The sequence below is a fragment of the Homo sapiens genome, chromosome 2 (genome assembly GCF_000001405.40).
Source record: "Homo sapiens chromosome 2, GRCh38.p14 Primary Assembly".
Taxonomy (NCBI): Eukaryota; Metazoa; Chordata; class Mammalia; order Primates; family Hominidae; genus Homo; species Homo sapiens.
The window spans coordinates 189449303-189462466 of record NC_000002.12 but is presented as its reverse complement, the minus strand read 5'-3'; the positions used below and the strand labels follow the sequence as shown (position 1 = coordinate 189462466).

The 13164-nt window shown below is 36.3% G+C and overlaps 1 protein-coding gene across 2 annotated transcripts in view; it reads right to left on the bottom strand.

Annotated features, from left to right (window-relative positions):
* The window catches only part of WDR75 (WD repeat domain 75), a 34079-nt gene that overhangs the window by 13086 nt on the left and 7829 nt on the right, over positions 1-13164 (bottom strand). For both annotated transcript variants that reach the window (NM_001303096.2, NM_032168.3), the window contains 6 exons: positions 11499-11564; positions 10572-10662; positions 7023-7147; positions 5086-5156; positions 3595-3714; positions 3043-3131 (listed from right to left, as the gene is read on the bottom strand). In NM_001303096.2, coding sequence (NP_001290025.1) covers positions 3043-3131; positions 3595-3714; positions 5086-5156; positions 7023-7147; positions 10572-10662; positions 11499-11564 — 562 coding nt within the window. The remainder of the gene's footprint in view (positions 1-3042; positions 3132-3594; positions 3715-5085; positions 5157-7022; positions 7148-10571; positions 10663-11498; positions 11565-13164) is intronic.

The following is a 13164-nucleotide window of genomic DNA, read 5'->3' as shown; positions in this document are numbered from 1 at the left end:
GAAATTAAAAGGATGGTGTTTTGAGGAAAAAAGAGAAAGAAAAATATAATTAACACTTTTGTTTTTGCTACCGTACTAGAGAAATAAACTCATTTAAAGCTACAAAAAGTGTCTTCGTATCTTTTAATATACTCTGAAGACAAATGATCACTGGTTCAGGAATTTTTTTTCCAGTGATATCTGATTAGTTTGTTGCTGACCAACTCCTCTGTTGACAACTAGAAAAGCTGGACAAACAAATATCCTTTAGGCCAAGATAGCTTCACTGATAAATTTTTCTAAACATTTAAATACTATACCAAAAATATTATATATATATAAAAAAAAGCCGATTTCACGACAGATGAAAATTCTTAAGCAAAATACTATACCAATGATATATTAAAGGGTATCATGTCATCGCAGTTTACTGCAAGAATGAGATTACCTTAACAGCTGAAAAATAAATTAATGTAACCCCACTTACAGAACAAAAGGAAAACACCATGATTATTTGAATAGATGCAGAAAAAGCAAATGACAGAATTCTATACGTATTCATGATAATACCTCTCAGAAACTCAGGAATGGATGGGACCCTTTGAATCTCATCAAGAGTACCTGGATAACATCTATAGCAAACACCACACTAAAAGTTAAACTATTGAAAACTTTCCCTTTGTGATTAAGAATATTATTACCATTTTGATTCAACGTTAACTGGATGTCTAGTGCACTGAAATGAAACCAGAAAGGCTTAAGGATTGGAAAGAAGGAAATAATCACTTCCATGTTCACAGACAGCATGACTACACCAAGGCATAGCCAAAATAGTTTATAGATAAACTTATGGAATAAGTAAATTTAGCTGATTATAAGAGAAATATATAACAATCAATTTTATTTTTAAATACTAGCAAGTCAATTAGAATATAGAGTAAAACATACTATCAAAAGACCATCAAATGTCTAGTGAAAAATATATATGAGAACCACAGAAAAAAAATCCTAACTCATGGATATAAAGACCTAAAAAGTGGAAAAGTATTTATTATGATTACAAATTAAAATACTCAATACTATAAAAACATCAATTCTCCTCAAATATAGCAACAGCTGTATTGTCAACACGGTAGCCACCAGTCAAATGTGGCCAATTAAATCTAATGGTTTGAAAACTAACAAAAGCCTGCAAAAGACTACCTTAATGACTAAATGGATAAATAGGACACTGTTTCAGACTGTTTTCTCAAAAGTATTCCATCAAATAACCATTTTTCATTCTTTCATGAATCTAAAACAACTGGTTTTAAAGATCACTGGTTTATAATGGGGTTTTTATCAAATTTTCTAAAGCTGCAAGCTGATAAAATCTAGCTAAACAGAAGACTAAAGGTATGTAGTTGTGATGTACACAAACAAAATTAAGAAGTTTAATCTGATATATACACATATATGATACATTGTGCATATAGTTCATATATGCCTCAAGTTATGAAGTTCTCAAAAACAACTAAAATCTGTATTTCTTTTATATTTACGCAGCTATTTTTTCTTTTTCTAATAACTCATACCCACACAGTCAGTAAGGACATTTCACTGACAACTATGTACTGTAACCATTATTTCTCATTTAAAAATATTCATGCTACTTGAAATATAATATCAAGAATTCAAATAATGGCCGGGCACGGTAGCTCACGCCTGTAATCCCAGCACTTTGGGAGGTGGAGGCTGGGGGGATCGCCTGAGGTCAGGAGTTTGAGACCAGCCTGGCAACACGGTGAAACCCCATCTCTACAAAAAATACAAATAATTAGCTGGGCGTGGTGGTGCGTGCCTGTAGTCCCAGCTACTTAGGGGGCTGAGGTGGGAGGACCATTTGAGCCCAGGAAGTCGAGGTTGCAGTGAGCCAAGATGGTGCCACTGCACTCCAGCTTGGGTAACAAAGTGAGACCTTGTCTAAAAAAAAAAAAACCCCTGCCTGGAACATATACAGACACATACATATGGATACCAAGCACTCACTAGTATTTTGAGGGTGTGGAGTGGGAAGGAGGGTAGAGAATACAAATGAGCAGCCTACATTGTCTCCATACACTAGTCATTACTCCCCAAACCATAATCGGGTTGAAGGTGTCTCCTATTTCCTGGGGCTTCCGGGCATTACACCCAAGTAAGACTCTAAGGATACCACAGCATATGGTACCATCTAAGACTTGTCCTGTCAGTCTCCAGGAAGACCTGCAGAAAGAAAAATCACTTTTCCTGGCTTCTCATTTTTTAGGCACACAATCTTCTCTAGTATGTAGTAACTTTCTTAAAGAACCAGTCAAATAAACTGACATAACTCTCACCACATGGGTGTGAGGATGCTAAAAGTAAACAAAGACAAGATGTACTTCCCTGTATTTCTGTTGAAGACCACTTTACTTTAAAGGTATTTTTACTCGCTATAGCTACACTACACAAAGCTGTGACAGAAGTCATGCAGCTTAAATGAAACAATGATGGAGATTAATTTAAAATAGCTAATGTCAAATAAGGCCATGTAACAGTTAAAAACAAGAGCTCTAAAATCAGAACCAGGTCCAAACCCACCTACCCACCATGTCATGTTAGGCAAGTTAATTATCAACTCCAAATCCTACTTCCTTTATCTGTAAAATGAGTATAATGCCACTCATTTCCTACGGCCAATGATTAAATCAGATAATGGATGTAGTGTTAGAATAGTTACTTGCACCTGATAAGCTACAGTTATGGACCACACACACTTAGTTATGTAGACAGATATACCTTCAAAAAGTCATATAATTTAAATAGGTTATTTATGTAAACAACAGAGATTTTTATCACAAATGTACACTTTAGAACTTTGAAGGGCTTCAAAACCTAAAGCATATTGTGCTGAGCAAAGCCCAAAATACAGGGGTAACACACAAGTGTTTGGAATTCATTTGGCTCATGCAGTTTTAAATCTTCCAAACTAAAAATACAGTGAATTAAAACACTTGAATCATATCTTCAAAAGTTCATTTTAATAATTAAACCCGCACTTACCTGTCACTGAAAAAGCCAAATCCATAACCATATCATGGTGCCAATGTAAACATGTGTACGTATATTTCTTATCATCATAAAAATTCCTCCTATTGGAGAAAGATAAAACTCTTATTTTGACCATAGGTTTAAGTTAGGAAAACAATGGCATGCCAAATACAATAAACATAATATATACCAAACATACTAAATCATAATATAAAGGCTTCTGGTCTTAATGTGCACATTTTCTATTTCTAACCAGAGTGACTGACTTCTATAAATAATATGCCATCTGTGGTACCCTCCTAGATATTCACTATTGTCAGTCTTTCCTTTTTGGAGAAAGGCAAACAAAAAGTTTTCTTCAATAAAATGATTACAGGCAACAAAAAATGTTTCACTCACTTTATAAGTCCAAGGCTAGAAATTCTAAAACAGTAAGTATGAAATGAAAAGCACACAAAAAAGGAAAGGGAGGCTGTTTCTTGGGACCCAGAGATAGCCCTGTTCTACAGGACTAACGTAAAATAGTACATAAATGATCGCCATGCTCTTCATGAGCAAACTGACCAAAGACGAATTTTGCCATCCATGTGACCAGATGCGATGCAGTCTTCCGTTGGGTGACATGCTACACATGTAAAATTGTTTTTAGCATGCTTCTTATTTCTTGATGATGATAAAGTAAACCTAGGAGAAAAAAAAAACAAATTCCCTTAATTATTAAAGTCTCTTGATAAGTGGTGATGTAGTTAAGTAAAAGAGAGTTCCCAGCAATAGCAACCAAAATTGTAGAGCTCAGAATTCAATAAATATAACTGCAGGATTTTTTTTAAAAAGAAAATTTTGATCAAGAATCAAGCATTCTATTTTGTAAACATATATCAATATACAACATGAACTTCATGTAACTAATATTCTACCATAATAATTTATCTATGGAAGCCACTGACATTTAAGTAAAGATTTTAGTGATTTTTTTTTGGCCTGGTCAAAGCTTGTTCAAATTTCTCATTGAACCTACATCTTAGCATGAGGCATAATCAAACCTGAGACATTAGATCTGAGACAAATGGCTAATGCATCTGAAAGGACAAATCCAAAGGGATCAATCTACTTGTTATAATATCTAGCCTATTTCCTATTCTTTGGCTGAATACTTGTCAATCTTCAGGCTCTGAAGAAGTCAGGATCAATATTATACTAAAAAGAAAGCAATTGGCCGGGCACAGTGGCTCACGCCTGTAATCCCAGCACTTTCGGAGGCTGAGGCGGGTGGATCACCTGAGGTCAGGAATTCAAGACCAGCCTGACCAATATGGTGAAACCCCGTCTCTACTAAAAATACAAAAATTTGCCAGCCTGGTGGCAGACGCCTATAGTCCCAGCTACTCAGGAGGCTGAGACGGGACAATCACTTGAACCCGGGAGGCGGAGGTTACAGTGAGCCGAGAACACACCATTGCACCAGCCTGGGCGACAGAGCAAGACTCCATCTCAAAAAAAAAAAAAAAAAAAGCAATCTTGGCAGGGTAAAAGGGAAGAGGTAGTTATTATTTTCAAATAGTTAACTATTCAATACTTAGCACTAGCTGCTCTAAATACGTCACCTCATTCATCAGTACAACTCTGTTAGGTAGATATTATCTCTATTTTAAATATGTTTTAAATTGAGGTGCAGTGGGGATCAAATAGACTAAATCTGATCCAATTAAAACTTACATATGTCAAAGCCTACATTCATTCCTACATTCATAAAATGACAATGAGAATCATGTGGTGAAACCCTGTCAAACTACATCCAACTTTGACTCCAAGAATGCAGACTAGAATTCAGTGTATAGGGCTTTTGACTGGAAAAAGCTTCCTAGGTTTTGGTGACTAATAGTATGCTTAAAAACTATACGGTATGGTTAAAAACTGTACCTCCATACTTCACAGTCTTACACTCTCTTGCAACATAAAACTAGGAATAGCTTTGGACTATAGGTATTAGGAAGAAATAAAATTATAAAGAACTCTTGAGCAAATAAAATAAAGCTAATAAAAAATAATTCTTACCTTGATGTTGTTTTCTTTTTGAAAAAATAAACAGACAAGTAAAATTCCCGTACTGCAGCAACATATACTCCCTAGTATTTCAAAAAGAAGATAAACATTCACAAAAATAGTCAACACTCTTTTTTTTTTCTTTTTTTTTTGAGACAAAGTCTCGCTCTTGTCCCCCAGGCTGGAATGTGATGGTGCGATCTCGGCTCACTGCAAACTCTGCCTCCCGAGTTCAAGTGATTCTCCTGCTTCAGCCTCCCAAGTAGCTGGGATTACAGGCACCTACCACCACGCCTGGCTAATTTTTGTATTTCTAGTAGAGATGGGTTTCACCATGTTGGCCAGGCTGGTCTCGTACTCCTGACCTCAGGTGATCCGCCTGCCTCGGCCTCCCAAAGTGCTGGGATTACAGGAGTGAGCCACTGCGCCCGGCCCAACACTGTTTAAAAAGAAACACTCCCCCACAAAAGTTAACAGTAACTTTGTTCAGCTGATAAGAGTATATTAATATGATATATTCCACTTTGGCTATAGAAAGAATAATCATACTATTGAAACAATGACAGAAAATTAAAAGATGAACTTAGGTCCTAAATCCTAAAACTAGACTCTCAAGCTTAAAGTACAATGACTAGAATTAGGAATAACTTATATACACTAAAATGCAATGTTTGATATACATGTACATCTATATAACCACTGCCACAATCAGGATCTAGAACATTTCCTTCCTCAGAAATGCCCCCTCCTCCCTCTTTACAGTCATTCCTCAATGTTTCCATCCCACCTATCTGTTTCGATCACCATAGCTTATTTCTCTGCCGGTTGTAGAATTTCACATTCATGGAATGGTAAAATATACACTCTTTTCTGCTTGTCCTCTGTGGCTCAACATCATCCATCATCTTTTTGAATTTAATCTACGTTCTCATGTGTGTCATTAGCTCCTTTTTATTGCTGAGCGGCACTCCATTGTATGCATATCACATTTGTTTATTCTCTTGCTGATGAATATTTGGGTTAATTTACATTTTGGAGCTACTATGAATAATCACTCTTGTACACATCATTTTGTGGTTATGTTTTCATCTCTTTATGTAGGAATGGAATCGCTAGGTAAATGTATTTAACTTTGCTCTATATCCTGTCAACATTAGCTATTCTAGTGGACCTAAAGTGGTATGTTGCTACGGTTTTAATTAGTATTTATTTGATGACTAACAATGCTGAAGAATGCTGACATTAATGATGTTAAAGAAGTTTACTCTGAGAAATTAACTCTTTTCAGAATAATGCCAAAATAATGCTATAAAACTTAAGACTAAAGAAGCATGCCGCTACAGTGATGTCCGGAGGCTTTTCATAGCATTTGATTTTAAAATAGTAAAGTAACTGTTAACAGGGAATGGCTGAAGAAATCACAGTATAAAAACATCAGTTATAATTTATGAAAAACATGTTAGTATACACACATGCTGCAATGTTAAGTGAAAAAAAAGATGAAAAGACTTCTGATCTTAATTCTTTTCGGGAAAAGTTATTTTATGAATGTTAAGAAAAAAGCCTAGAAAGAGATTCTTCAATTATCACTGGTGAGATTATAGGTTTTATTTCCTCATTATATTTTTCTGTAGTTTCCAAATTTTCTATAATGGGCATATTAATTATAAACATTAATTAATTAACATATGGGAGGCCATAATTTCTAAAGACACATAGTCTAAGAGAGTTTACAAAGGCAATAGGACAGAACACACAAAAATAAGGATAGTCCTAAAAAAATCTATACCATAAATACATGCTAAAGCAATGAAGAGGCTTCTTAGTTACTAATACAAATATAGTAATTCAAGGGAATATAAAATCACTGTAACATAAAATGCTCAGAAGAGAGATTGCAGGAAAGAAATTTTAGGTACAAAACAGAAAACGAACAAAACAAAATTTACCTCGTTTCCAAAGGCAATGCACTTGGGTGACTGGTTTATGTAATCCAAAACAAAGGACAGCTCCTTGGCTTCTACTTCCTGGCTTGAGGATTTTGGCAGTTTCACTGAAACCAGCTGAAATATATCTAGCCAAAGAAAGCTATATTAATATAAAGCTTCTCTAGAGAGAGCAAACATGTGTAAGGAATTTATTCTTTTTTTTTTGAGGCAAAGTCTTGCTCTGTCGCCCAGGCTGGAGTGCAGTGGCGTGATCTCGGCTCACTGCAACCTCTGCCTCCCAGGTTCAAGCAATTCTCTTGCCTCAGCCTCCTGAGTAGCTGGGACTACAGGCATGTGACATCAAGCCTGGCTAATTTTTGTATTTTTAGTGGCGATGGGGTTCCACCATGTTGGCCAGGCTGGTCTCGAACTCCTGACCTCAAGTGATCCACCCATCTTGCCTCCCAAATTGCTATTATAGGTGTGAGGCACTGTGCCTGGCCCTATGAAACTGCTAATCAGTACTCTAGAATTTATTTGATGCAAGATAATAATTCTAGGCTAATCTTGAACAAAACATACCTTAAAGGTGGACTCTTTGTTTGAATGAGCAAGTTTTAAATGGAAGTCTAATTCCATAACTCATGTACATAAATGCCCCAAATATATAGAAATACAAATCTGGGAGGCCGAGGCGGGTGGATCACAAGGTCAGGAGATCGAGACCATCCTGGCTAACACGGTGAAACCCTGTCTCTACTAAAAAAATACAAAAAATTAGCCAGGCGTGGTGGTGGGCGCCTGTAGTCCCAGCTACTCGGGAGGCTGAGGCAGGAGAATGGCGTGAACCCGGGAGGTGGAGGTTGCAGTGAGCCGAGACTGTGCCACTGCACTCCAGCCTGGGCGACAGAGCAAGACTCTGTTTCAAAAAAAAAAACAAAAGAAATACAAATCAACTTGTATCTTACTGGTGCATTTTACATTCCAAAGTATTAAGCTGGGTTTTAAAATGGAAAAAGAATATGAATGTTGGTCAGCTGAGTAGCTAAAAGCAACAAATCATCTGAGAGTTTTCAGAAATGCTATGATGGGCCTGCCATAATATTAGGGTAAAATCTCCTTTTCTGTAATACTGACACATTCTTCTCTTTATATCCCTTTAAAAAATATCTCCTTAAGGGTATTCTTTTTACTCAGAGTAAAAGCAAAAGTCCTTCCAATAGCCTACGATGCTAAATATAATCTATTCTCCACTGGCTCACTTCCACCGGCCTCCCTTCTCCAACACAGCTGCACAGCCCTTCTTCCTCTCATTTAGTATTTACTCCTCCTATGTTGCTCATTTCCCTCCCCTGCTTTATTTTTCTCTAGACCACCTTTCATCTTACTGTATCATATTAACTAATCCAGTCAGTTTACTACTGGGACTTAGAAGTGTTTTGTTTTGTGCAATCATAACAGTATTTAGCACACGGTGGGTGCTCAATTAGGTGTTGAATGACTATATGACACATAGTCAAGAAATAATACCATCAAAAATAACACGTAAATGAAAGGCTAATTTGTTTTTAAACCAGAGAAGTAACTGCAACATGATTTATTCAATTTTCTATCAGAGAGTCTGGTTTTGGGCTGTGGAACATAGATAACACAAAAAGGGTACACATATATGTATAATATATGTTTTTGTATTTGAGTATGAGAGGCCAGTGGTGCAGTAAGCAAGCCAGCTAGCACAGGGGATCTTTTCAAGCCTGACTGACATTTTTATGTAGCAGCTATCCAGATTTTCTTATGCTGGGTGCCCATTATATGCCAAGTACTGAAGATTAATAATAGATCTCATTATGAGAAGAATTTAGATTACAACACAAGATCTTTACTTTAGATCAGTCGTTTTCCATCCTGTCTTGCATATTAGACACAACTGAGAAATTTTTCAGTAAACTAGGCCCCAGCACACAGAATCTTATTAAGTTCTTCATGTGATTCTTATGTGTAGTCAGTGTTTAGAATCATGGGTAAAAAGTTTTGCTAGCAGCTATTGGCAACTACTTTTCCAAGTGAGGAATCATGGAGTGAGTACAGGAAGTTGTTACCAAATACGAGTGATGAGCAGAATCACCTGGGACGATATTAAAAATGCAGATTCCTAAAGTACATCCCAAACCTAGTGATCAACCACCTGTCAGGAAGATTAGGAACCTGAATTTTTCGTAAACATGTGAACTGTTATCAGAAATCCACGTATTCAACATACGAAACCGAACTTAAATATCAAAAAGAGTGCTATGTTTGAAGCAGTCATCTGGCAAGATGACTTAATTATTTTTAAGAACGTTGCCATCTCCAGAACATTTTTTGAAATGTCCTTTGGAGGTGGTTTAGTGATCCTCCCACCTCAGCCTCCTGAGTAGCTAGGACTGTAGCCACCACATCTAACTTACTTTTCTTTCTTTTTGTCTTTTTAGAGACAGGGCCATGGTATATGTTGCCTAGGCTGGTCTCAAACTCCTGACCTCAAGCAATCCTCCTGCCCTGGCCTCCCAAAGCACTGGGATTACAGTTGTCAGCCATCATGCCCGGCCCCACTATCATCTTAAAGCTGCTTCATATTCTTCATTCTGAACACAACTGTATTTTATGGAGGACACCATAGCATACAGTGGCATTCCTGAATGTGGGGATCAGAAAATTTCTATAGATGTGTCCTCATGTCAGTGTTCTGTTTTATCAAACTCTATGGTAAGGGACAATTATTTCTAATCACTGACAATATTCTAGGAATTCCTAAAATGCTGATGCACAGCAGTTTCAATGGACCAATGTTCTAAAGACAGTGAAAATGTAATTAATAATAACTTAGTCACATTATTGGTTCTTAATATCAACCAATTTTTTTTTTTTTTTTGGAGACAGAGTCTCACCCAGGCTGGAGTGCAGTGGCGCCATCTCAGCTCACTGCAAGCTCCACCTTCTGGATTCACGCCATTCTCCTGCCTCAGCCTCCCAAGTAGCTGGGACTACAGGTGCCTGCCACCATACCCGGCTAATTTTTTGTATTTTGTTTAGTAGAGACGGGGTTTCACCGTGTTAGCCAGGATGGTCTAGATCTCCTGACCTTGTGATCTGCCCACCTCGGCCTCCCATAGTGCTGGGATTACAGGCGTGAGCCACTGCGCCTGGCCAATATCAACCAATTTTCTATGCCATTTCCACCCTGACTTAAGAAAGTGAGAAGTGTTCAATGATAGATAAATGATAGTGATGCTTAATAACAGATTTAAGTTCAGTAGAAAGACAAAATTCTATCCACCTTTGTAAAGCAGATTTAAAATTTGAGGTCTGCAATCTACTATTACAACCACATAAAAAATAATCCCTCCCTCACTGCATATTTCAGAATTCATACAAACCATCTCCAAATGAGCACAATAATGACAAAAGCAATTTAAATGCCCATTCTAAAAACTGTTGGCTTCAGATTAAAACCAAAATGTTAAATTTTGAGGAACTGTAAAATGTAAAGAGCCACTCAATGCCATATATAGTAAGTTAATTATACCATACCTGGTTTTTCTTTATTCACTATAACAAAGACAGAATCCTCAGCTTGGGCAAGAGTAAAGAGGGCATGAAGTTTACATCCAACTATGAAAGTCTGAAAGATAAAGAGCACCATAGTGTTTACTGTCTGTTCCCTCCAGTGGAACATAAGATCCATCAAGGCAGGGGTTTTTATGTATTTTGCTCATTGCTGTATTCCCAACATAAGGAGAGTACCTGGCCTACAGAAGACAACTAATACATATTTGTTAAATACTCTTTCGAGTTTCCTACATATAGATCTGAAATGGTATTGTACTGAATGTATCATAATTTTAACTGACATCAAGGTCATATTTAACTTTTTTCCTACCATAAACAATGCTATAAGGACTTTGTGTACAGGCCATTATTCCGAGGTGAGACTGCTGTAGCAAAACGTGTTTATTGATTTTCAGTTTTAACTCTCATTGGGTAAAAAAGTGCCTGTTTCTCCATACTTTACCTATCACTAGATTTTTTTTCAATCTACAATTTGGCTAAATTTATGAGGGGAAATATTGTGTCATTTGTTTTAATTTAGATTTCTTTATTAATGAGTTTAAGCATCTCTTCATATTTATTGACTATTTGTATTTCTTTTCTGTGAATTTACATATTCCTACTTTATGCCAATTTCTTCTACCAGGCTATTAGTTTTTCCTTATTGGTTTTTGGGAAGATTTTTGTATATTTGGAATAATATCTTTTGTAAATATCTTCTTCCAGCTTTACCTTGTCTTTTATAAGTGGAAAATTTTTATATAGTCAAATTAATTTTTTTGATGTTATTTTGTAACTTGTTTAGGAAGTCTATTTAAATATTTGGCCTTATAGAAACAGTACATCTACCATTAAATTACATTGCCTTTTTTTATTCACATAACGAAAAGTAAAGATCAATCCACATACCTTTATTAAGATGCCATCTATATAGTCCCACAGTTTAATTGTGCCATCAAGGGAACAAGAATACAGCTAAAAGGGTAAAACAATACAAAATTGATTTAAAAAAAAGAAATTCATCAAGATATCAAATGAATAATTAAATGTTGATCAGGGGCATTTTCTATTCATTAATTCACTGTTAACCTTAAAGAGGTAGAGTCATTTATTTATATTGCTTCTGCAAAACAATCTTTTCACAGCTTTCTGCAAGAAGCAGATCCATCCATTTCAAGTTTTAACTAAAAGAGAGAGGAAAAAAGCCAACTTTCTGTCTTGAAGAGGGAGATGGTAAGGTTTTGAATGAGATATGAAAAGCACCAAGGTGCAGTGGCTGCCACCTGTAATCTCAGCACTTTGGGAGGCCCAGGTGGGTGCATCACTTGAGGCCAGGAGTTCGAGACCAGCCTGGCCAACATGACGAAACCCCTACAAAAATTAGCCAGGCGTGGTGGCACATCCCTGTAATCCTAGCTACTTGGGAGGCTGAGGTTGCAGTGAGCTGAGATCAATCACATCGCTGTACTCCAGCCTGGGAGACAGAGTGAGACTCTCCAGAAAAAAAAACCAAAACCAAACAAAACAAAACAAAAACACCCACACAAGAGCTTGTTGCTCTTCCTGCCAGAACTCAGCTTACTCAGTTTTATTAGCCAAACTCCTTTTACCTTATATGAGCATTAAGGGAGTGCTTCTCAAGTGACTGAAGAATATTCTGCTTAAAAAAATTTCTTCCAATCCATCAAGGACCAATACTTTCATAAAATACAATAGAAATTATAATATGCTTGGATGCTGAGGCAATGTCAAAGTGTTTTGTGACACTCACATTCTGTACTCTTATACAGAATGGTAACTAATGGTTTAGGACACTGGTCTGTGGACCATACTTTGGTAGCACCAGAAGACCTTACTAACACATAGGCTTACTTTTGTCCCAGTGTACTTAGTTTTATTAATACTAAGTTTCTGCTAGATTTTGTTGTCGTTGTTATAGGAAAATACTTTGCTTATAATGTTTACAAAGAATTTTAATATTTTTAAAGAAAGTGGCAATTTTAGGATTTCTGCAAATAGAGACATGGACTCAGAGAAGAGGAATGTAAAAATGTTGGAGTAAAACCATATTATCTATCCAAGTCAAAAAATTATACAAACTAGGAAATTTATATCACAATTACTGCATATGAGAATCATAAATATGGACTAGTAAAATGTAACAAGTCAAACATATAATTACTGTCAAAACAATGGTTAATACACAAACACTGTGACTCCTAAGTCCAGAACTGCTGCCCCTGCACCTCAACCAAATCTGATAAAACTGCCCTTCTCTAATTTTACTCACTTTCAGTCATCCGAAACAAAGCTTTTATGAATTGTGTATACGTTTTTTTGGCTATAAAACTTAGTATATGGACTTCACAAATTTCAATTTTAACAAAATAATAGTTTTGCTATTAAAAACATTCAAACACTACACACAGCGATAAACTTTTGTCAAACCCTCAGAGGACGGCAAGCATAAAATATGTACTTGGATCCCGTAGAAAAGTTACTTAACTTTGATTTTTAGAAGTAGCTCATTTAATTTTGGAAAGAAAAGATCGGTGCTACTTTATTTCCTTTGGAA